Below are 26328 nucleotides of genomic sequence, written 5' to 3'. Positions count from 1 at the left end.
AATCAACATCATTATATAACAAGTCAATTATACAACTCAAATAACATCCTAATCAGCTGTCCTTCTGTCTTGCCCCTTGGAACATCATGAACTTTACCTTGTTCACAGATTCATGCCTAGGTGCCCATTAAGTTAATTAGGTCCACTGGGCCCCTGACAGTTAAGTTCTGCAACTTGGCCTTCAAAATTTCAGCATCCCATCATCTATCTACATTGATACCACAGAGCCCATTGTCATGACAGCATCTTCCATCATCAGTTCTAGCCTGTAGAGGTCAATCAACCATTGCCAAGCTTTTCAAAGTTTCCAGTATGCTCTTCACCATTACATTTCTCTTTGTTGTTGTTTGAGACAGGATCTCACTCTGTCACCCAGGCTAGTGTATTGGCATGATCAAGGATCACTGCAGCCTCAACCTCCTGGCTCAAGCAGTCCTCCCACCTCAGCCTCCCAAGAAGCTAGGACTACAGGCATGCACCACCATGCCCACCGTGTGTGTGTGTGTGTGTGTCTGTATAGACGAGCTCTCACTATGTTGCCCAGGCTGGTCTTGAACTCCTGGGCTCAAGCAATCCTCTCACTTCAGCCTCCCAAAGTGCTGGGATTACAGGTGTGATCCACTGCACCTGACTACCATTATATATTTTTTTGCCTTAGTTATGAATATCATCTGGACCCTCCCAGGGAAAAGTCGGGTGATAACTTCTCCAGTTTCAAACAACAAATACATCCCTGAGCTTTCTGACCGCTTCCTCAATACTATGTCAGATAACTGCTAGCATGCCTATCATATCTTCTATATGCCATCCTTGCATTGTGTTAGGAGCAACTCCAGAGATTCTTGCCAGGGAATTAAATCATGCATCATGAGTGAGCGCTCCCATGTCACTCTCTCCTATCAAGCCTTATATTCCACCTCCACCCCACCCCTTGACTCAATATCCTCAAGATCTACTCTCAGACATGTTTCCTGGGTTCCTCCCAATACATTTTAACCAGAATCTGCAGTTGATTCAGAGTGAAACCTATCCTCCTAGAGGAAGGACTGTATTCCCCAACTTAGGGTTTGCTAAGACCTGATCCTAGTTATTACTTTGGAGTCAATGAGAGGAAACAAGGGTGGATCTTGAGGAGGATAAGTGTTACCTTGTGATGCAACTGCCTCAGATAAAGCCTTTACAGAATCTCAAGGTAAGGGCAGGCTATTCTCCACTAGAAAATTGGAGGACACGGCTTGTGCCAGCTCAGAGTTCATGGAAACCTGAGGATTCAAGATTCTCAGGCTCACCAACACAAATGTCCCATCCTGTGATTTAGGGTTCCACTGTTTTTGTGTCAGCACTGACTTTGCTGGGGACTAGCAAGGCTGTGCATTCTGTCTCCTCTGCAGCCCTGCCACCTTTACTATTAGATTTGGGCCTCATTGGCAGCACAGTCTGCCCTGCATCTGCAGATGAGTTTCCTGAAAGTGCTACAGAGGGACTCTGGCTTTCACAGCATTCCTTGAGTTAAATGGCTATCATGAGCCTGTGTCATTTTCTTTTTCAAAGCTCCTAAAGCATTTCACAGTAGCAAGTGAATACTTAATCTTTATAATTTCCACTAGTCCCATTTCACTGTAGTGGCACAGCGACTGCATAACCTAGCACTTCACCTGCCACCTGCACTTCATCCAAATCCACTGCAGTAACTGATCCAGTCACAGGATACTATCCTGAGTCTTTGCTGTCAAAGGCCATTCCTGGTACTAACCATCTTAGCCTGAGTTTATCCCTTGCCCAAAAGCAAAGCCTAAGACAAATGTTCTTATACCTGTAAGTGTTGTTATACAAGTAGTTTATTTGGGAAGTGATCTGAGGGAACTAGAGGGAGGGGTAGAGGAGTGGAAAAGGAAAAAAGAAAGATAAGGATATATTATTATTGAGTTGGCCACTGCTATGGGTGACTGGAGCTCAACGATAGGACTTTCTGAGGAAGTTTATGAAATGCATTTCAGAATTGTCTTCCCAACAGACGGGAGAGCACTTATGTATTGGGCTTCCACCTCCCATTAATCAAGAGTGGCCCCAAAGTCACTAGCTCCCCAACATCTTTGGGCTGCATATGTATCATACAGTGGGGTTCTAGTGGGCATCCCAAGCCACAGTGTCAGAAGATCCCTGCAGAAGGAAGCAAGAGAGCCATGACATGCGCCCAAGACAAGGTGCCATCAAATGGCTTCCGCTATCAGAAGCCTGCTGGAAAGTGTTCCACAGCAGTAATGGAGTAAGAAACGGGGCCAAGAGGATTTGCAGTGGCACACAAGATGTGTCCAGTACAGTCATAGACAATGGGTGGTTGACAACACAACGTAAAAATCAGTAGATATCTTCAGCCTGAGAAAGATTGAAAAAAAAAATCAGTAATATCACTAGAAAATGGTTGTAAAATTTTGAGATAGTTTTTATTTGAAAACATAACATTACAAAGTTTGAAAAATAAAAAAATTAATGATTTTAACTATTTTTTTCTTTTGTTCTCTTGTTTTTAACTTACTATTTTGAATGACAAAAAAATGGCTCATATGTTTGTCCAAAACCCTTGATAATATCTTTAATTTTTTAAATACCTGAAACAGTTAAATTATTATGTACTAAAAACATTTACTGTACTCTCAGACAGACTCATATAAAATAACCTCATTTGTCAGGAGAAAGAAAGGTACATACAAAGTAGTAAATTATGAGTTTTGACAAAAGTAATAGGCATTTTTAGTTATTTAAATAAATTAAGGAAACATCCCAAAAGACATTTATACAGTAAAAAAAAAAAGTAAATAATTTCAGGAAAAATAAACTGTATTATTACATTTAAATAAACATGAAAAAGATACTTGGATGATGGTTTTAATTTCTCCAATAGTCTTCATGAAGGTTTTGTAGCTGATGGCAATGGAGCTTTTCCTTTCCACTTAGCAGCCTTTTCCATTTTCATCTGTAAATTTAACATATTTATTGATATAATAACTTGTAAACCATTCTAAAGAAAAAAAACTTGCAGAAAACTCATTCAGATTCATGTCACAGCCATTCCACAGTTATTAAGCTGCTAAATACTAAAGCCAAAATCTGTTAAAGGGACATAATTACACATTTTCAGATGGTTTTATTTTAATTTTACAGAAGCATTTTAATAAAAGTAATATATGAATATTGCTTTAGAGAAAACAATTTCAATTGCCACTAAAATTACAAGTGCTTAAAATGACTAAACTTACATCCAGCCTATGCACATTCCCTACAGAGTTACATAATGCACCTAATCCAGCTGGATTCTCTCTGGAACGTGGACTGCTTTAAGGATAGTTTTCTATAATTCTGGTTTCTATATTCCCACAGTTACCTTTCTGAAAGTCTTTTCCTCCTCCATTGTAGTTAAAGCAAAAAAGCAGCCACTGTGCCCAGATGTGTATTGGGTAATTTTAACGAGTCTGGATACACCTAAAAGCCTCTAAGAAGAATAAATAATACATATTAAGAATTCAAAATAGGCACCAGGCGCGGTGGCTCATGCCTGTAATCCCAGCACTTTGCGAGGCCGAGGCGGGTGGATCACGAGGTCAGGAGATCCAGACCATCCTGGCTAACACAGTGAAACCCCGTCTCTACTAAAAATACAAAAAATTAGCTGGGCATGGTGGTGGGCGCCTGTGGTCCCAGCTACTCGGGAGGCTGAAGCAGGAGAATGGCGTGAACCCGGGAGGCGGAGCTTGCAGTGAGCCGAGATCGCGCCACTGCACTCCAGCCTGGGCGACAGACCAAGACTCCGTCTCAAAAAAAAAAAAAAAAAAAGAGAATTCAAAATATATTCAATCTTTATTTGGCAAATATTTTTAAATAAAAAATAAAGGTACATGTATAAAAAAAGAATTCAAGATACATATAATTTACAAATCTGCTGATATTGATGTTTATTACTGACAATTTTATCTGCGTATTTATCCAATCTTTATGGCCTTCATAAATCAACCAGTGTATTAAATATCATGTTATTCTTTAGCCCTGTTTCTGTGTATTCTAATAAGCCTCAAGGCCTAACACCAACTGTAAGTAAAGACTTTATAAATTATTTTCAAGGATGTTCCACATTCAATGTATAATCATTCTAGTGCTTTTGCTACAAGTAAATGCTTAGTGCAACTGAATTTCCTCAAAAACCTACCCTTTCCTGGTATCGTCTTTCAAAGAAAGCCATATCATCCTCTTCAGGTCTCCTTAATGAAGAAACTTGACTACTTGTACCTACTAACAAGGAAAAAAAATCTAAGTAATGTATTTATATCATTACATATTCCCCTGAAATAAAAGAAAGAAAAGTTTTCTCCTGCTCGGTGATAATGTTTTATTTTTCAAACCAAAAATGGCCTAAATGAATAATTGGTCCTACTACCTCATTCTCTTTTAGAGAGAATGGCATCACAGGACAAAAGTGTTTTTCACTAGCAAACATTCTCCAAATATTCCACAGTTCATATTAAATAGCACCATATAGCTATTCCGTATAAGAGTACACTTAGTTTTGTCCAACTACTTTTTACATTTTATAACTAGAAATCCATGTTACACTTTGAGATAATGCACAAAAGTAATTATTGAGGCTTGGTATAGGCAACCATAAGTAATGATAGTACCTGCTTCAAAATCTTTCAAAACTGAACTATTTTATCCATTTTTTACGGTAATCACTTTGTCAAATGGATCAAGCACTAATTTATATGCTGAAAGGAACTTTTGAAATTGCTTCAGTAGGAAAACATCTGGTTTTCTTGGCAGGTAGCCAAGAGCCTAATTGCATAGAAAAGTACACCTTCATTGCGAGTGAAGGTCTTCACTGGGTCCCTTCATTTCCAAAGCAGACTAGCAACCTGAACACTTGCGCTTCTAGTTTCTAAAGCATATGAATTCACCCTCAATCAGCAACATGTAACTCCAGACAATCACCACAGAGTATAGCTACAGTCTGTCGATTATCTTTGACAAAAGTTTTATTGAGAAGAGTAAGAAGGGATTCTTATTTGAATAAGTGTTATCCACCCATTCCTCTGGAAACTCTGGGTCTATCCCTGGATCATGTGGGACCATTTGAGCCCAGCCTCTTCCAGACTCATCTACATTGAGTTGCATTATAATGGCATATTACCATTTATCTAGTAAAATGGTATATCACAACTCTTCAAAGGTGACTATCAGGCCAGGTGCACTGATTCACGCCTGTAGTCCCAGCACTTTGGGAGGTGGAGGCAGGTGGATTGCTTGAACTCAAGAGTTCGAGACCAGCCTGGGCAACATGGCAAAACCCTGTCTCTACAAAAAATTCAAAATTTAGCTGGACATGGTGGTGCATCCCTATAGTCCCAGCTACTCAGGTGGCTGAGGTGGGAGATCACTTGAGCCAGGTAGGTGGAGGTTGCAGTAAGCCAAGATCACACCACTATACTCCAGCCTGGGTAACAGATCAAGACTCTGTCTCAAAAAAAAAAAAAAAAAAAAAAAAAGGAAAAGGTGACTATCAGAAACAAGCAACTGTCTGCTGTATTTGCTGAAAAAAAGCTTTTACCTTGGTCACTAATCACTGAGGGTCACTATACTGACTTAAAATCCAGCATGCCAGGCCAGGAGCAGTGACACATAGCTATAATCCTAGTGCTTTGGGAAGCTGAGGCAGGAGGCTAGCTTGAGGCCAGGAGTTTGAGACCAGCCTAGTCAACATAGCAAGACCCTGCTGCTGCAAAAAAAAAGTTTTTTTAATTACCCAGGTGTGGGGGCACACCTGTACTCCTAGCTATGTGGAAGGCTGAGGCAGGAAGATCACTTGAGCCCTGGAGTTCAAGGTAACAGTGAGCCATGATCACACCACTGCACACCAGCTTGGACAACAGAGAGAGAACTTGTCTCAAAAAAAAAAAAAAAAAAAATTCCAGCATTGGTGTAACATTCATTAGCACTGAGGAACTCGGGCTTCCTCCTGTCTAATAAAGAAAGCATTTAATTGACTGCACTTTCCTCTGTGTCTTGGCTGCCACTAAACTCAGTCAAAACTGAAGTTTAAACAAAGCAATTACATCAACCTTGAAAGCTGCCACAGCTGTGTCCTTTTCTTGGCTTCTTACTTGTATATATATTTTATCATTATGTACTAAGTTGTATGTTTTAAGGCAAGCAGCCTTAAAATTCCTTGTGGGGAACGTCTAGGTGTATGAAAATACAGATAAAGAAAATTCTCATTTTAAAATATTCTAAAATACTAAATTTTAAATACCTAATAAGTCATACAAATTCATTCTTCCTGTTTTCAGTAAGGAAAATACAGAATACTGGTGCTTAAAAATGAATTCTACTTGCTCTTAATTTATAAATGATAAAACCCTGCTAACCTATGGTTATCACTGGATTACGCCTCTTTGGGAAAACCCAAAGGCAATTAGGCCGCCAGAAGGCCCTCTTATTCAAACACCAGAGCAACAGCATGTACCAGAACAAGGTTTAAAACTTCAAATTATAGTAGTATCAGAATCCTCGACATTCTCGGAGTTAGCTATTTTTCCCAATACAAAATGAAGTTGCTTGCTTTTTCTCAGTGTGTGGCTTACATAAAAGAAAGTAAAATGATAGCTTAACTTGAAGTTAAATTATCGTAATAATGAAAAAAAGAGAGATGCCTAGAAAACAAATCAAAGCTCCATATTCCAATTTACTACATCCAAAAACAGTTCTAAACTTCATTTCATTACCATCTGTTAACGTTTCTGGAGAAGAACTAGATGATGCTTGAAATGCTTTTAGGAATGGGCTGTCTACTGCCGTAATGGGAGATTCTAAAAATTCAACTGAAGGTACACCTGAGAAAACAATACATGGAGAATAAAAATTAAATATTTACAGGGATACAAACAAGTTATTACTTCTAATGTAAAATAAATTGGAACCTCAGCAGAATTATTAGAAATTCTTTCTATAAAAAAAAAATTTTAGACTGGGTGTAATGGCTCATGCCTGTAATGCCAACACTTTGGAAAGCCAAAGCAAGAGGATTACTTGAGGCCAGGAGTTCAAGACCAGTCTTGGTAACATAGGGAGACCCCATCTCTACCAAAAAAAAAAAAATACATAAATTAGTTGGACATGGTGGTGTGTGCCTGTAGCCCTACCTACTTGGAAGGGTAAAGCAGGAAGATCATTTGAGCCCAGGAATTTGAGGCTGCAGTGAGCTATGATCACATCACTTCACTGGATCCGGCCTGGGCAACACTGTGAGACTCTTTTTATTTAGATTTTTGTCTGACATATAAAGTAAAAGCAAATGGGTAAAAGTATTCTTCTGCACATTTCTGAGAACTTTTTCACAGAAAAAAAGAATATTATGTACCTATGTTAGCATAGAAGTTCAAAACCCTAATATATAATAGTTATAAAACACTATCAAAAGCAAGACATTCACAATAAGGAACCTCTGGCTGAAAAGGGTAGAATAAGTGTATTTTTACTCTATTCCTTACTAGGAAACCATCTAAAAACAAAGTATGAAAAATAAAGAAGAAAGCACCCTCTTCAATGAAATGAGGAAACATCCACAACTCCAAACCATAAACTACAAAGACTAATTGCTAAATATATTGACTTTTGGACCAAAAGGAAGGAAGCTGCAGAGAAAATGTGTAGCTGCTCTATCTTCTTCACAAACCACCACCTTTCCCCTACACTGCTATCTCTACACCACAGGTGGTCCTAATTGGGTTAGAAGTTAGCCCCATCTTATAACATAAACAGTGTGGGACGATTGCTCAGTCTCTCCCCGCTCCTGGCCCCAGTGGCTTCCATGGGGCATGTGGGAACATGGGAGAAGGGGCTCTGGCCCACGCACGTCCTTGTGCTGCCCTCTGGCGGCTGCATGTGCTACTGATCTCAAATGCTCAACTTGTATTTAATAAGTTGGTCTCTCAGCTTGATAGGGCCTGGTAGCCTCATGCTTGCTCCGACTATAAGTACAGACTCCCTCAATACCTGTCACTTCCTCTATTGAGTCCCCGAGCTTAGGGAACCCACCTCCAGCTCTGCCCCCTGCTATGATAGATGCATGACTGGCCCACTGACTCACAGGTCAGCTGCCTTCCCACACCCCCAGAGAGCTGGGAATTATGGGCTCCTTCCACATCAAAAAGGAACCAAATTCCAGCAAGAGGTTTCCTCGGTCTAGGTATCCACATGGCTAAAAATCTGGAGTCCCTCTGTCCCTAGGTTCCTCTATACCTGAAATCAGAACAAAAACATCTTATATTTCCTCTCCTTACTCTCACCTTTCTTCACTCCACCTTCTTTCATTGACCAAAAGGAAGAGGCTTTCTTTCCCTATGAAATCATGTGTTACATAAGGCATTTTGGTCAACAATGGACTGCATATACAATGGTGGCCACATAAGATTGTAACAGAGCTGCCCTATAAAAGTGTAACATTTTATTTATTTACTTTGAGGCAGGGTGTTACTCTGTCACCCAGGCTGGAGGGCAATGGTGCCATCACAGCTCATTGCAACCTCTGCATCCAAAGCTCAGGTGATCCTCTCACCTCAGCCCTCACCAAGTAGCTGGGATTACAGGCACACACACAATACCAGGCCCAGCTAATTTTTTGTATTTTTGTAGAGACAGGGTTTCGCCATGTTGCCTAGGCTGGTCTCAAACTCCTGGGCTCAAGCGATCTGCCTGCCTCAGCCTCCCAAATGCTGGGATTACAGGCATAAGCCACTGCACACGGCCCATTTTATTTTTTATGCCATATTTTTACTGTACCTTTTCTATATTTAGAAAAATTTAGATATACAAATGCTCACTATTGTGTTACAATTGTCTACAGCATTCAGTACAGTAGCATGATGAACAAGTTTGTTGCCTAGGAACAAAAGGCTATACCATGTAGCTAGGTGTGTAGTATGCTCTACCATCTAGGTTTATGTAAGTACACTCTATGATGTTCACATAACGAACATCAACTAACAATGCATTTTCCAGAATGTATCCCCATCATTTAGTGGCACATGACTATACCTTGAAGATACTTAGTGTTAAAATACTAGACGTCACTAAAGGGCAAAGATGCCAGCTACCACCATTATTTAGCATTGTTCTGGAAGTACTAGCCATTTTGACTAGTCAAGAATAAGAAGAGTCACAAATATTGGAAAGGAAGAGGAAAAAACATTATTTTTATAAAATAAACTAAAAATTGAGTAAAAACTCTAAGTAATAAGAATGGTAACAAAAGCAATGAAACACTTTTGCTTTTTTATAAACAAATAATAATCAGTAAGAAGATATAATAGAAGAAAAAATATCTCATGTATGATACCAATGAAAAAAAATTGGCCAGGAATAGTGGCTTACACCTGTAATCCCAGCTCTTTGGGAGGCCGAGGCGGGCAGATCACCTGAGGTCAGGAGTTCAAGACCAGCCTGGCCAACATGGTGAAACCATGCCTCTACTAAAAATACAAAAATTAGCCAGGCATGGTGGCATGCGCCTGTAATCCCAGCTACTCAGGAGGCTGAGGCAGGAGAATCACTTGAACCCAGGAGGCAGAGATTGCAGTGAGCCAAGGCACTCCAGCCTGGGAGACAGAGCAAGATTCCATCTCAAAAAAAGTTAAATACCTAGAAATAAACTTAATAAGATTGTGCAAGACTTCTGGGAAAACAACTTCAGAATTCCACTTAGTTGCACAGATGACAAATAAATGAAAAGACAATACTGAAAAATATCAATTCTACATGGTGGCTCACACCTGTAGTCCCAGCTACTCAGGAGTCTGAGGTGGGAGGATTACTTGACCTTCGGAGTTTGACACCAACCTGAGCAACATAGTAAGACTCTGTCTCTAAAAAAAATATAAAATGTAAAATATTAGCCAGGCATACTGGCATGCGCCCACAGGCACAGCTACTCGGGAGGTTGGGTGGGAGGACTGCTTAAGCCCAGGAGTTCAAGGCTGCGGTGAGCTATAATCATACTACCGCAGTCCAGCCTGGAAAACAAAGCAAAACCCCATCTTTAAAAAAAAAATTATTTCTACATTCATCTACATATTCAATGTGATCTCAATTAAAATAACAGAGTTTATAATACCTTAACAAAATGATGCCAAAGTTCTGAAAGAATTAAAACATAAGAACAGGTCAGGAAAATTCTGAAGCAATAAAATGAAGTCATAAATATTAACTAATTTATTTATGATAAAGCTGCAGTAATGAAAACAACATAGTGGCTGTACACAAATAGCCAACAATGTGGCAGACTAGAGAGCCCACAGAAATCTTCAGGTTGAACCCAACCCTGCTACTTCCTAGTTGAATAACACTGAGCAACTTATTTTACTTCTCTGTGCTGCGTATCCTCATCTGTAAAATAGGAATAATAATCTAACTCACAGAGTTGTTGTGAGGATTAAGTGATGTGGTTCAAACAACTGCTGGTAGTACAAAGCTGCCGTCATCAAACATGATCATCATCATCATTATGTTTTGACACTGGTAGTTGGGTTTTCTTTAGCTGTTGCTTGAGCCTAACACAATTATGCACCCATAAAACTGCAGAAGAATTTACTTATGAAATTTAACAAGCTAGTTATAAAATTACCTAGAAGAGAAAATGCACAAAAATATCAAGACAATCTTGAAAACAATCACAAACAGGAGGAATTTACCATATCAAATATCATGACACACCAGGAAGCTATCATAAAAAATATATATTACATAAATATATAATATTGGCACAGGATAGACAAATGGGCCAGTGGTACAAAATGGAGAATATGACAGAATATGGTAGTTTCCACAGAATACTATGCAGCCATAAAAAAGAATGAGTTCATGTATTTTGCAGGGACATGGATGAGGCTGGAAGCCATCATTCTCAGCAAACTAATGCAGGAACAGAAAACTAAACACTGCATGTTCTCACTCACAAGTGGGAGTTGAACAGTGAGAACACATGGACACAAGGAGGGCAACATCACACACAGGGGCCTGTCAGAGGGTGGGAGGCGAGTGGAGGGAGGGCATTAGGACAAATAGCTAATGCATGCAGGGCTTAAAACCTAGATGATGGGTTGATAGGTGCAACAGATCACCATGGCACATGTATACCTATGTAACAAACCTGCATGTTCTGCACATGTATCCCAGAACTTAAAGTAAAATAAAAATAAAGAATATGGTAGAGTTTCAAATGATTTGGGCAAGAATGGTGCTTGAATAACTGGCCATCAATTTAGACAAAAACTGAAGTTAGAAACATCTACCTCACACTTTCACAAAAAATAAATTACAGATATATGAAAAAGCTAAACATAAAAAAGTATTAAAATAAAACGCAGGAGAATATATTTATAAAACTGAAATAGGAAAGGACTGTCTCCAAAATTTCTAAACTGTAAAGAAAAAAAAAATTAAGAGACAAATGATAGCTTGGGAGAAAATGTTTGCAAAATAAATAACAAAAAAATATACAGAATATATAAAAAGACTTCCTATAAGTCAATGACAAAAGATAAAAACAAAAAAAAAATGAGCAAGGGATATGAATAGGCAATTCACAGAAAGTGAAATGGCCAATAAATATGAAAAGATCCCTATCTCACTAATAACCAGGGAAATCAAATTGAAACAACAATAACAATTTTACATGTCAGACTGGCAAAAAAAATCAAGTTTAATAATATCAATGATTAGCCTAAATGTGAGGAAACAGGCAAGCTAAAGCATCAGTAGAGGATGTAAAAACAAGCAGAGCATTTTTGGAGGACATTCTGGCAGAATGTATTAGAATTTTACAGGTTAACACGCTCCAATAGTTTTACTTCTCTGTATCTACCTTAGAGTCAAATTCATGCAAGGATACAGGCAGACAAATTCAAAGATGGAAATCTAAATGCCATGAACAAGGAAATGGTTAGATAAACTGCTTTATCTACAGTGTGGAATACCATACAGCAGTTAAAAAGAATGAAGTAGACTTGTGTGTCCTGACACAATAGGCCTTCACATTTTTCTAAGTTGAAAAAAAAGTAAAGCCAGGTATGGTGATGCATGCCTGTAATCCCAGCTACTAGGAAGACTGAGACTGGAGGATCGCTTGAACCCAGGAGTTCAAACCTAGCCTACCACCATAGCAAGACCCTATCTCTTAAACAATAAATACAAATAATTTTTAAAAATTAAAAAGTAAATAGTAAAATTGTATGTTAAAGAGAAAAATTAATTGATGATAGCAAATTACCCTCGGGGAAAGAATTAGACAAAGAGAAGTATTCAAGGGTGTTTTGCACTTAATTTCTTTCTTTTTCCACTTAATTTCTATTGTTTGAATCTTTTACAAGAAAATATATACTCGTATGGGCCTGGCGTGGTGGCTGAAGCCTGTAATCCCAGCACTTTGGGAGGCTGAGGCAGGCAGATCACCTGAGGTCAGGAGTTCGAGACCAGCCTGACCAACATGGAGAAACCCCCATCTCTACTAAAAATACAAAATTAGCCGGGCGTGGTGGTGCATGCCTGTAATCCCAGCTAGTCGGGAGGCTGAGGCAGGAGAATTGCTTGAACCCGGGAGGCGGAGGTTGCGGTGAGCCGAGATCGCGCCATTGCACTCCAGCCTGGGCAAGAAGAGCAAAACTCCGTCTCAAAAAAAAAAAAAGAAAAGAAAAGAAAATATACACTTGTATTTATGTAATTTTTAAATGAAAAAATACATGCTTGTTGTAAAAAAGAAAAAAAAAACTTACACACCTGTGTTTCAAGTAGACAGGGAACACATTCTGCTCCCCAGTCCCGCTCAGCTCTCAGAAGGATCCATCTACCTTTAATAGTTTAGAATAGATCCTATTAAACTTTCCCTACATTATTTACAACATATATGTATGCAAGAAGATATATGTGTGTGCACATACATATATACATATTTTACTACAGAAGTGATTACATGTATATACACGTATGTTCATATACACACATGAACATAAACCTATTGTTTCCAAAATGAAATGGATATAATAGCTTAAGTTACATACAGTAGAGTAACAGGTAAACTATATCATATCAAATAAAATAAATATTATTCAGCTATTACAAACAGTGGAGATGCAGATTCAAATTTGAGTACAAGTATTGGGATGGAAATGATCTCTGCCACTTGCTTTCTAAATTCTATAATGACAATACATTGTATAGTAGCAATAAAACCTCTTTTATGGATACTAAATAGGTCTGAAAAAATAAAAAATAAAATAAAAATTTTAAAAACCTCTTTTAAAAAATAAAAATCAAACGAGAGAATGTTTTCTGAAAGAAAAATACTATAAATTGCTTAACAAATATAAGGCTTCACTATTGTTAGCACACATAAAAACAATACAATGGGCTCACATTTCATATAGTATCACTTACCAATCCCACTGTCATCTAACCGCATGTAGCCTTCCGCCAGCGAGCTGAAACCAGTTAATCCTCCCATGGCTGCATAAGGAATGTCCTGTCCCACTGGTTTTTCCTGAGCCAATCTTTCTTGCTTAGTTTCCACTACTGTGTCATGGGCATATGCAGGCTGACCACAAGCACAAGTGAAGCAGCTATGGAATCCTGAACACTTGGAACCTGAATCAAGATGTAAAGGGAGTTAAATTCTTAAAGGTACTATGTTGTCTACCCTAAAGACACTTAGCCTGGCAAAAGCCAGCTGAACCTAGATCCTCTGGCCCCTGTAACTCTTACCTCCAGCCACCGAACTCCTTCCTAGCCACTGTTCTTACTTCTAAAACATGCCGAAGTAGTAACCAGATACAACACAGAAAAAAAAAAAACTGCAAAACACAACAAGGACTAAAAGAAATTGAAGAGCCAGGTAATGCAGACCCTCTCCTCAAAAACTGAATTATAAGCAGGCATGGCGGGGAGAGCCCAGTGGCCAGGACCAGGTGAAGAGATAATGTAGAAATCTTCCTACAGATCAACTCCCCATAAAAGCCAAATTAGAAGGCCAACCTGTAGACACAGAAAGGGTGTAGTGTAATCTTGCTCAGCAATAAAAAGGAAAGAAGTATTGATATAGGCTACATGGATGAATCATGAAAACATCATGCTAAATGAAAGAAGCCAGTCACAAAAGACCACATATTCTATGATTCTATTTATATAAAATGTCCAGAATAGGCAAATCCAGAAACAGAAAGTAGATTATGGGTTGCCTAGGGCTGGGGAGAGAGAAAAGTAAGGAAGGACTCCTAGTGAATATGGAGTTTCTTTTTGGGGTGAGAAAAATGTTCTGAAATGTATTGTGCTGGTGGTTACACAACATTCATGCTGATTATATATTAAAAATCATTAAACTGCACATTTTAAATAGGTTAATTGTATGACATGTGAATTGCATCTTAGAAAAGTCGTTGTATAAAAAAATCAAGCCACATTGTAATGGAGGCCAGAATATACTATTAACAAAATCTTTACCCATTCACACCTCTGACAAACATATATGGGAACAGCTAGGCACAGTGGCTCACGCCTGGAATCCCAGCACTTTGGGAGGCCAAGGTGGGCAGATCACTTGAGGTCAGGGGTTTGAGAACAGCCTGACCAACATGGCAAAACCCCGTCTCTACTAAAAATACAAAAATTAGCCGGGCGTGGTGGCGGGCACCTATAATCTCAGCTACTTGGGAGGCTGAGGCAGGAGCATCACTTGAACCCTGGAGGCAGAGGCTGCAGTGAGCCAAGATCATACCACTGCACTCCTGGTGACAAGAGCCTGGGTGACAAGAGCAAAACTCTATTAAAAAAAAAAAAAATATATATATATATATATATATATATATATGAACCAAGGCATATAAATAAATCAGTTTTCTCCAACTACTTCCATATTCAGCCAATGAAAGATTTATTCCTGCCACTGTCATTAAAAATGTTTTATTACACACTTCACCATAAGATTTCAACTCAAACTACTATAACAACAACTGGATTGACTATCTCCTGAAGGAAACTAATGGACTAGCACTCTACCTAGTTGAATGGATGATCCAGTGTAAGGGCAAAGGGGGTAGAGGTTGGAATTTGGGTACAGGTATTAAGGTAAGGGTATTACTGCATACAAAGCATTAAAATGATCATGCTATGTTAATCTATCAGCAAACCATAAAAGTTTTTTGACTTATAAAATGCTTTTTTAAAATCTATGAATAGAATTTAGTTGATTCAACTCCCATATTCAAAAATTTGAATCAGATCACATCTGGCAATTCTTTAAAATCCATTACTATTACTTAAATTATCTGAACTATATGAGATGAGGGTTTATGATTATCAAGCATACCATTAACTCTGAGTTCTTCCACAAAAATGAAATCTTAGAGTATCTATCCAATGAATTCTACTTAGTTGTTTAATATTAACGCCATAACTGAATATTAACTCTACAACTAATACAACTGAATATTAACTCTACAACCAGTAAAAAAGCACGTTAAATATTCAAGGAAGACATATAAACATTCTGAGTTTATGTGTTTATAATAATATAACTCACATGTATTGCATGTAAAGCCAGGCGCAGCACTGTGCTGATCAGCAAAGTGTTTGCACCTGCAGCGAATGGGCTGGCTACCATTCAAGGGGACATAAAGGTAAGCCCTGCACTGGCAGCCAGTCACTTGGCAGGGCAGATCAATGGGGCACTGCTGAGGAATCGCTTCCAAGTCAGTTTTATGTTGTTTATACCTAAAAAAGGAGAAAGAGAGAGAAATATAAACACAATACAGGTATTATCAAAAATTACAATTTCTATTATATTAAAGGCAGATATGATTTTTTAATTATTATTGCTTTATTATTCTTCATAGTAAGGTGAAAATAAACTCTCCTACATATAGTACTTGTATCACCTATGTTGCTTTGGTCAGAGGAAATCTTTACTCTTTTAGATTTCTATTTTTAGTTATTTAAGAAGCTGTTTCACAGCAATACAAAGAATAATTATATAATTTCCTTAAAACACTTACCTCTACAGATTCCTTAATAGAGAAGCACAGCCTAAGAGTATGAAAAAGTTCAGGCCGGGCGCAGTGGCTCATGCCTGTAATCCCAGCACTTTGGGAGGCTGAGGCGGGCGGATCACCTGAGGTCGGGAGTTCGAGACCAGCCTGACCAATATAGAGAAACCCCGTCTCTACTAAAAATAAAAAATTAGCTGGCCGTTGTGGCACATGCCTGTAACCCCAGCTACTCAGGAGGCTGAGGCAGGAGAACTGCTTGAACCCAGGAGGCAGAGGTTGCGGTGAGCCCAGATCGTACCATTGCACTCCACCCTGGGCAACAAGAGCGAAACTCCATCTCAAAAAAAAAAAAAAGAAAAGAAAAAGTTCTTTACCAATGTTATTTTTGTCACAGTGCATTACTTAAATTTATTTGCATGTTTGCTACTTAAAATAGAAATATATTCAATAAACATGTGTTGATGTAATTTATTTTAATATGACTTTTGACTTCAAAATAAATTATCAATATTTTTGAAAGCCAAAGCTCCTTCTTATAGTATTGTAATTTTCTTAAATAGATCACTCACTTTCTTCTCATAGGTGATATTCAGTAAAATAATACTAAATTTATTATTCTCAATATTAATCAAAGAAATGCAAATTAAAGGCCGGTTGCGGTGGCTCACACCTGTAATCCCAGCACTTTGGGAGGCTGAGGCGGGCAGATCACAAGGTCAGGAGATCCAGACCATCCTGGCTAACACGGTGAAACCCTCCGTCTCTACTAAAAATACAAAAAATTAGCCGAGCGTGGTGGTGGGCACCTGTAGTCCCAGCTACTTGGGAGGCTGAAGCAGGAGAATGGTGTGAACCCGGGAGGCGGAGCTTGCAGTGAGCCGAGATCACGCCACTGCACTCCAGCCTGGGCAACAGAGAAAGACTCCGTCTCAAAAGAAAAAAAAAAGAAATGCAAATTAAAATGAGATACCATTTTAACTTAGCAAAAAGAGTCAAAGTTTTTAAAAACTATATGTAATACACAATGCTATCAAGAGTGTTACGAAAGGGCCAGGAGCCTGTGGCACATGCCTGTAATCCCAGCACTTTGGGAGGCCAAGGCAGGTGGATCACTTGAGCTCAGGAGTTCAAGACCAACCTGGGCAACATGATGAAAACCCCATCTCTACTAAAAATACAAAAATTAGCCCAGCATGGTGGTGTATGCCTGTAGTCCCAGCTACTCGGGAGGCTGAGGCAGGAGAATCCCTTGAACCCAGGAGGCAGAGGTTGCAGTGAGCTGAGATGGCACCACTGTACTCCAGCCTGGGCAACAGGCGAGGCTCTGTCTCAAAAAAAAAAAAAAAAAAAAGAGTGTTACAAAAGAACAAATTCTATTTAATAATGTTTCAAGAAACTTGAAAAGGTCCATTCTTTGAACCAGAAATTTCATTTTTGGAAAATATACCCTAAGAAAATAATTCCATATATAGAAAAAGCTTTATGCATACCAATAATATTAGCAATAGTACTTACATCAGCTACATTATACACACACCCACACGACATAAGAGAACCAGTAAGTAAATTACTAGACAACAGTTTTCAAACATTTTAGCAGTGAAACCCTTTTGTCAAATAAAATCTTTTATAGAACCAGAATACATAAAACAAATGCAGAATTGGTTAAAGCGAAAGGAAGAACAGAATAGAGTTTCCCCTTCTAACCTGCCCTTCCACCTGGCACACCCCCAAGGCTCCCTCACAGCTCCGGAGAACACAGATAAACACCACTGGACTAGCTGGACTAGCTGGCAGGTATTAAAAATCTTGTTTTTGATCAGCACATAACAATGTGGAAACATATTTCTATGATTCTGTCATTAAAAAGTGGCTCAGTATTTTATGCACACACATACTTCACAACAGTTAAATGGCACAGTGGCTCATGCCTGTAATCCCAGCACTGTGGGAGGCCAAGGCAGGTGGATCACCTGAGGCTGGGAGTTCGAGCCCAGCCTGACCAACATGGAGAAATCCCGTCTCTGCTAAAAATACAAAATTAGCAGGGCATGGTGGTGCATGCCTGTAATCCCAGCTACTCAGGAGGCTGAGGCAGGAGAATCGCTTGAACCCACGAGGCAGAGGTTGTAGTGAGCTGAGGTCGCGCCACTGCACTCCAGCCTGGGCAACAAGAGTGAAACTCCGTCTCAAAAAAAAAAGAAAAAGTCATACAGATATTGTAAAAAAAAAAAACTAGCAGCTGGCTTTGGGTAGTGAGCTGCTTCTATATATTGTATATAGAATATATTCTATGTTTCTATATATCCCCCATTTTCCTTGATAATCATATACCACTTTAATAGTGGGGTGAAAAAGTTTGGAAGAAATCTCACTGAGTGGATCAGTACTAAATATAATAACTTCTCCATCAAAGTTGAGTTGGGTCAGCTGAGCATGGTGGCGCACACGTGTAATCTGAGTACTTTGGAAAGCCCGAGGTAGACAGATAACTTAAGCCCAGGAGTTCCAGACCAGTCTGGGTAACAAAGCCAAACCACTTCTCTACAAAAAAATACAAAAATTAGCTGGATGTGGTGGCAGACGCCTGTGGTCCCAGCTACTTGGGAGGCTGAGGTCGAAGGATCGCTTGAGCCCAGGAGGTCGAGGCTGCAATGAGCCAAGATCGTGCCACTGCACTCCAACCTGAGTGACAGAGTAAGACCCTGTCTCAAAAAAAAAAAAAAGTTGAGTTGGATCAATTCTGACGTTCAAGTCCATGCTGTATAAGTTATACAGAGATTAGAAAGTGGCACTAAATTTGTGTAAGAATAAATTATAAAACTATCACAAACTTACCAAACCCCTCTTTAATTCTGAAAGATATCAACACATCCCTTATCCTCCATTCCTCCTCAGTGTTTTTAGTTGGAGTTGCTAAATAAATTTATAATCAATCTATATACAACATTACTCATCCTAGCAACTGCCTAACAAACTTTGGCAAACTGCAACTCTGTAAATAGCAACTATACAAAGAGTCTCTGTGAAAGAGCCCCAGAAATTGCTATCAGAATAGGGTGGTTCCTCTTGGAACCGAAAGTTAAAGTTGCTGCCTGAAAACATGGAACAGGTTCAGAGACTTTTCTGTGAAGCAGCTTAGGTATTCTGAACTTTATTTACAACTGTGAGACGGTAGCAAAATTTAAAGTAGAGCATACACACAGCAAAACGCAAACTTCAGATACAGACAACTCAAGCCAAAAACTGAAGCCTCACTTATTTCCTTTCCTTTAGGCACTTTTCTTGGAACATGACCATTTGTAATGCAAAGCAGTGTGCTTGTTTGTTTAAAGAAAGGTATCGACACAGCAGATCCTTAAGGTATAAAAGGCAATTAGTAAATTTGAGGAGAAATGTTTATACTTATAGATGGACAGCATGATCAGTGTGGGTCAATTCAAGCAACGCTTAAAGTAGTTCCTCAATCTGATGACCCATTCTCTACTTTCTCCAATGATGTGAGATGTAGGTAGACTGCTCCCCAGTCAAACTGAAAGACCCCTGGCAAAGCCACAGGGCCACCAAACATTTTTACCAATGGCAAGAGAACTGCTTAAGGTGACAGACTCCATGATGAGCACTAATAAGATATGATGGAAAATTTTTAATTATAGCTTTAAAAACCTTTAGATAATTTTTGTGGGGTTTTGTTTTGTTTTGTTTTGTTTTGTTTTGTTTTGTTTTGTTTTGTTTTGCTTTGTTTTGAGACAGAGTCTCACACTGCCACTCAGGCTGGTGTGCAGTGGCGTGATCTCAGCTCACTGCAACCTCACCTCCCAGGTTCAAGCGATTCTCCTGCCTCAGCCTCCCAAGTAGCTAGGATTACAGGCGTGTGCCACCACGCCCGGCTAATTTTTTGTATTTTTAGTAGAGACAGGGTTTCACTATGTTGGCCAGACTGGTCTCAAACTCCTGACCTCGTGATCCACCCACCTCGGCCTCCCAAAGTGCTGGAATTACAGGCGTCAGCCACTGAGCTCGGCCAATTTTTGTTTTTTAAGAGACAAGGTTTCACTCTCTGTCACCCAGGCTTGAATGCAGTTGCACAATCATAGCTCACTGCAGACTAAACTCCTGGGCTCAAGCAGTCCTCCGGCCTCGGCCTCCCAAAGTTCTGGGATAACACAGATGTGAGCCACCATCCCCAGCTGATAATTTCTACTCTACTATATAAAGGACAATTGTTAAATGTTTCTCAATCATTACGATTTGTAGAAGTAAGATATGCTTAGCTTTTTATTTTCTAATTATCAAAAAACTTTGCAATAAAGTATCTTACCTATGTGTACAAAAACACAGTGTCTCTGGGCCCACAAGTTTACAATCCATCCCTGTTGGTGACCGCCAGCTCACAAATAATCTGTTTTGTAAGCGCAGAGGTAAAACTTTTCTTTTGTATTCTTCATATTCTTCAGGAGTAAAAAGTTTCCCTCCATCATCCTCACCAACAATTCTACAACAAAAATATATATTTCTCTTAAGCTTTGAGTATTTATTTTCTGGGTGAGCTATGACCAGGCCACTGCAAATATTAAATAAATTTGTAAGCTTTTATTTTGTAAATCTGTCTTTTCTTACAGATGTGGCAGGCCGGGTCTCTGTAACAACTGTTTCAGCACTGACTGAGTGGTTAAGTTAAATATTAAAAGCTAATAGAACCAGGGTCCTTATACAAAGGCTGGAATGTAACAAAAGCCCACCGAGCGTTTGCCCAGGCCTTTCCTGGGCCTCGAAGCATGACAACATAACGAAGGAATTCTTAAAGGACCCGTTTGGGACTAAACAAGTTTTACTGGGGGTCTGAAGAAACTCCCCAGACCTCCACAAACAAGTTTACTGGGGGTCTGAAGGAACTCCCCAAACCTCCATGATTCAGCAGGAGACAAGACCAGAGTAATCACCCCAGCACCTGGACCCATTTAGATTAACTAAATTTACTGAGGCTCCAGAGGAAGGTCTTCAGGACTCAGATCTTAGTTATAGATTAGAAGTTAATCATTTATGTCTTTAGATAAATGCACACTTACACATAAACATATATATACTTATAAACATATGTAATTTTGAATTGGTCTGGCGATATCTTCCAGGCCTTCTCCCTATAACCAGTTACAGAAATAATCTCCCTTCTTTCCCAGTTCATCTGAATCACATTACTGGGCCACGAGAATAGGCAGCCCAACTATCGGTTTGATCCAGAAACATAGGTGTCTCAGCCATGAACCTAGTGATGGGTGAGAAAAGAAATCTTTTCTCCCCTCCACTTCCTATATAAGAGGGTTATAAATAGGAAAGACAATGAATTCATAATGCAACTTTACTGATCCAGGTTTATCAACAGAGGATTACCACATATTCGTCTCAGCTTTTCCTTTGATATTGAAGCAAAGATGTTCATTCCTCTCATTAAAGGTAGAGCCTTAACTGCTCAAAATTCTAACATTTACCTCCTTTGAAAATGTATCCCAAAAGAGTACAAAAAACATCAAAGCAGAAGCCAACATGACTAATTTCCATACCTGTCTCCAAACCCTGGCCAGGGGTTTAAACTAATGCGGAACCTAAATACACACTTGGCTCAGCACAAGCTCCAACCACATCTGTGTGTTAGGTAATCAAGTTTATCATGGGTTAATTTCAGAAGTAAGAACCCAAAATATTATGGGAAAACATAAAGCCCCCACTATTTCTATGAAAAGAAATTAAGAGTTGGCCTCCCTGGAGGAAAAGAAAGCACGACTAAAAGAAGTTTTTCCAAAACTGAAGACATTTCTCCCTGAAAATACTCCCCTTGAAAAGTCACAAAAAGTGATGTTTGTGGAATGCTACATACTTTTTTGTGCAATACATGCTTTTTTCCATACTTTGAAGCCTTTAGCTGCGGTAGAAAATAAAAACCATTGCTCTATGTACTTGCCATTAGAAAAAAAGAAAAACCAATTTATAAGCTATGAAATAATCAAAACCGCCTTCTTTACATAAACAATCTAGATACATAATAGTAAAGAAACAAAGGGCATTTAATTCTGAGATAAATTTTGGGCCATTTCATTTTCTTGTAGCTATCAAGAATACCAACAGGTATTAAGATCTTAAGATAAATACGGATCTTTAAAAGATCTTTTAAAAGTAAGATGTCATTGGTATTTAAGTTCTAGACCAGTGCAACTCAAATTTTATTGTACTTACAGAATCCCCAGGGGATCTTGCTCAAATGCAGATTAAGACTCACAGCACAGTGGCTCATGCCTGTAATCCCAGGACTTTGGGAGGCGGAAGCAGGAGGATCACTTGAGGTCAGGAGTTCGAGCCCAGCCTGGCCAATATAGCAAAACCCTGTCTCTACCAATAATACAAAAATTAGTATTTTGGTGGGCACCTATAATCCCAACTACTCTGGAAACTGAGGCACTGAGAATCACTTCCACGGAGGCAGAGGTTACAGTGAGCTGAGATAGCGCCACTGCACTCCAGCCTGGGCAGCAGAGCAAGACTCTATCTAAAAAAAAAAATAATAATAATAATAATAATAATAATAAATATATATATACATACACACACACACACACACACACACACATGATAAAGCCAGATGTGGTGGCTCACACCTGTAATACCAGCACTTTGGGAGGCTGAGGTGGGAGGATTGCTTGAGGCCAGGATCTCAAGATGAGCCTGGGCATCCTAGTGAGATCCCATCTCTACAAAAAATTTTAAAATTAGCTGGGTGCGGAGATGCATGCCTGTAGTCCTAGCTAGTTAGGAGGCTGAGAAGAGAGAGTCGCTTCAGCTCAGGAGGTCAAGGTTGCAGTCAGCCATTATAGTGCCACTGCACTCCAGCCTGGGTGACAGAGCGAGACTCTAAATAATAATAATAATAATAGGTCTGCAGTGGGCCTGAGATTCTGCTTTTCTAACAAGCTAACAGGTGATGCCAGGACACTGGTCAGGGCCTCCCACAGTGTGAGTAACAAGGCTGCATGCTTCCCCTCCCAACCGACTCCCACCGAAGTACCTAGGCAAGAGCAAATCCAGGAAAACTCTTCGGAAGGAAAGTTTGTTTCCTTCTAAACTCATATTTTGACTCATCTTCCCACCCCACCTTCCCAGCCCACCTTTTCATATCTAGGTACTCAAGTCCTGTTTTCCCCACTTTTCTAAAATTCTGACGTCAGTAAAGGACCTGATAATCTCTTTCAGAGGGAAGTGTTGCAAGTTATTTACGATTGCAAAAATAATTTCCCAGCCGGGCGCGGTGGCCCAGGCCTGTAATCCCAACACTTTAGGAGGCCGAGGCAGGTGGATAGCTTGAGTCCAGGAGTTCAAGACCAGCCTGGGCAACGTGGTGAAATCCCGTCTCTACAGAAAATACAAAAATTAGCTGGCCGCCTGTAGTCCCAGCTACTCGGGAGGCTGAGGCAGGAGAATCACTTGAACCCAGGAAGCGGAGATTGCGGTGAGCCGAGATCGCGCCACTGCACTCCAGCCTGGGAAAGAGTCAGACCCCGTCTCAATAAAATAAATAACTAAATAATTTCTCAATAAAATAAATAACTACATACATAGGTCTGCCCTAACATGTTCGGAGCTAGGCAAGAGTCAACTGGAGGCCCACAATTCACATATCTAAATATCCAAGTTATCAGTCAACACCAGCTCCAGCAACTTGCTCCCAGGCAAAAGCTCTGGAGAACTGGAGGCTAAAGGAGCCGGCTCTGCTCTGGGAGAGGACGGGATGGTGGTTGTTCTGACCCTGAACCGGGCGTGGGAACTGACCCCATCAAGCTCCTAGCCCTTATTCTTCTGGCTCAGAATATCCAGGCAGTTCTAAGGGTTACCCAAAACTACACAAACAGGGCAGTCAGAGCAGGGGAGAACAGTCAGCTGGGGGGCCGTCTGCGCGCACACCTCTGGGTCATCTGGGCCACCCACGATGCCGCAGAGGAGCCCCTGTCGCTCGCTCCGGCCTCCCTGGCGGAGCCTGGAGCGTCTCCCCTCCGCTTGTACACACACATCCTCCCGCCCCAACTCCGCGTCCTCAGGCGGTCCTCTCCAGGACTTCCCATCCGCCCAGATTCCGGACGATCAAAAACCCCAGGAAGCGGAAAAAGAGCGCGTCGCTGCAGGTGCACCAGCCTCGGTCAGGATCCAGGACAATGAACCGCGTCCTCAGGCCAAAGGAGCGACTCCGTTTCCAGTTTCGGAAGGGGTTTCTCCAGAATACCAAACACCAGTCGGTGCCTTTCTCCTAAAACCAGCACCTCGGGGTGGGGAGCGCGTTCAGAAGTTCACGGTTGACTCAATTACTGGGTTAATTTGATGTATGCTAACTTCTATAGCCCCGAGTACTCGATGTGCCTGTTTTCAATGGCCATTTAAAAAACAGCTGGACCTCTGTATCAATCTAGAGTTAGTCATCCTTCTTGGAAGGGAGCAGAGGGGCCTCTTAAATGTTATTGGAAGACTCATCACTGCATAGAACCGCGTGGCCCTACAATATTTAATTAGGCAAAGACTAAACTGGAATTCATCTAGGCCTCCCCCAACAGCCCAGGCACAGATTCCGGGAACCCCCGCGGACGCCCGCCGGGCCCCTGCTCGCGCCCCCAGCCCAGGGATCCTGGCCCCTCGGAGCGGCGGGGGGGCAGGCCCGGAGCCACAGCCTCACCTCCGGTACTCCAGGTACTCGTCCACCGCCGCCGCGCCGCCGAGAGGCAACGTCAACCGCTCCATTGCCGGTGGGGAAGCCAAAGGCTTCCCTGCGGACCAGCTGACCTCGAAGCCCGACCCGCCCCGTTCCCTCCCGGTACCGCGCCCCCTCCCGCCCGCCTCCTGATTGGCCCGGCCTGAAGCCCGAGGAGGCCGCGCGCGGCAACTGCGCAGGACGCGCGCCCCTACTGGCTGCCGGCGCCAGGCACCAGAACCCGGATCTCCGCAAGCGCAGCCTCGCGCCACATGGAGTGCAGTTTGCCGCCCTCCACAAACCTTGCACCTATTCCCCTCTCCCTTCCCTGGACCGGCGAGTCTTCTTGTAAATTAACAAGTGACAAGGGAGTGCAGTGCCTTGCATATAACAGGCGCATAGAAAATGGCTTATTTCTTTGTACAGCTCTTTTCGCTTAATCCATCTCTTGAAATATAAGTAGTTTTGAGAAGGTTCTGCTTTAGTTTGAGGCCTGCCTCTCCTTAACTGTCGGCCTGTTTCCAGTATTGGCGTTTTCAAAAACTCTGATGTAACAATCAGTAGTCCTGGGTATCTGGGTTCACTTTGGGGGTTGCTAAAGCTACATGTTCTTCAAAGGAACCGAATAACTGATTTAAGGTGAAGCAAGTAAAAACAATTTAGGTGAAGTTTTGTTGTTGTTTTTTAACTTTTGGAAACACTCTGCAAAATATATTTAGAAGCTGAATTACCATGCGATTGGTAATTTGGCCATAATTTGACTTAGCACGTTGTGGAAAAGAATAGGAAATCTTCAGGCGAAGTCATTAAACTCTGAAGCTCCCAGGGGATCAGCTTTAGCGCCCTCTGTAAAGTATCTGGGAGGGAGAATATGCAAACAATAAGAAAAATAATTAAACTTCAGTACAGTACTTTAGTTTCAAAGTACTGTTCTACATATTTCAGGTCCATAAAACATTATGTAAACAAATTGTTTGGGTACCACCCACCTCCCTTCTCGGTACCCTTTCAACAAACCCCACCCTCTCCCCAAAGTCTTCCTCCTGTTCAGAGGCGTTCTTGACAGTCAGATAAATGAGTGATCCTGAAATCGGATTCATATTTTAGGAAACTGATCTCAGCTCAGTATTCTCTCCTATCACACGTGTGGTTTGCTGCTGTCCATTTTACCTCTTCCACCCGACACCTCCCAGATGGGGTCTTGCTCCGTCTCCAAGGCTGGAGTGCAGTGGCGGGATCTCGACTCACTGCAATCTCTGCCTCCTAGGTTCAAGCAATTCTCCTGCCTCAGCCTCCTGAGTAGCTGGGATTACAGGCACTAGCCACCACGCCTGGCTTTTGTGTGTGTGTGTGTGTGTGTATTTTTAGTAGAGACAGGGTTTCACCATGTTGGCCAGGCTGGTCTTGATCTCCTGACCTCGTGATTTGCCCGCCTCAGCCTCCCAAAGTGCTGGGATTACAGGCGTGAGCCACCACGCCCAGCCCCATTCTACCTCTATGAGAGCCTAGTCTTGCTTTTAGGCAGCA

General features: G+C 40.8%; 1 protein-coding gene across 18 annotated transcripts, besides 2 other annotated features; it reads right to left on the bottom strand.

The window, feature by feature from the left end:
- Positions 1 to 1820: 1820 nt before the first annotated feature.
- Positions 1821 to 24871, bottom strand: FAM221A (family with sequence similarity 221 member A). Of its 18 annotated transcripts, none has more exons than XR_428081.4 (8): positions 24787 to 24871; positions 20398 to 20571; positions 15611 to 15801; positions 13474 to 13680; positions 6771 to 6878; positions 4202 to 4284; positions 2849 to 2974; positions 1821 to 2376 (listed from the first exon to the last, which is right to left on the bottom strand). XR_428081.4 is itself a non-coding variant. In XM_011515369.3 (8 exons), exons 1-7 carry the CDS (start codon positions 24849 to 24851, stop codon positions 2906 to 2908), a joined length of 897 nt encoding a protein of 298 aa, XP_011513671.1. In that variant the 5' UTR covers positions 24852 to 24871; the 3' UTR covers positions 1821 to 2376; positions 2874 to 2905. The 18 variants fall into 18 exon arrangements, 13 of the variants coding, with proteins under 13 accessions (XP_011513671.1, XP_016867623.1, NP_954587.2 ...); XR_002956430.2 differs by having other exon boundaries at positions 4202 to 4281; XM_011515369.3 differs by having other exon boundaries at positions 2874 to 2974.
- Positions 24068 to 24317: an enhancer, noted in NCBI's record as "active region_25739". NCBI's record gives its function as "activates an Ori minimal core promoter by ATAC-STARR-seq in GM12878 lymphoblastoid cells {active_cell/tissue: GM12878}" and the evidence as "EXISTENCE:reporter gene assay evidence [ECO:0000049][PMID:35858748]".
- Positions 24648 to 24937: a silencer, noted in NCBI's record as "silent region_18015". NCBI's record gives its function as "represses an Ori minimal core promoter by ATAC-STARR-seq in GM12878 lymphoblastoid cells {active_cell/tissue: GM12878}" and the evidence as "EXISTENCE:reporter gene assay evidence [ECO:0000049][PMID:35858748]".

Source organism: Homo sapiens, chromosome 7 (assembly GCF_000001405.40).
Source record: "Homo sapiens chromosome 7, GRCh38.p14 Primary Assembly".
NCBI classification, from domain to species: domain Eukaryota; kingdom Metazoa; phylum Chordata; class Mammalia; order Primates; family Hominidae; genus Homo; species Homo sapiens.
The sequence above is the reverse complement of the archived record's forward strand: the minus strand, read 5'-3'. Positions and strand labels throughout refer to the sequence as shown.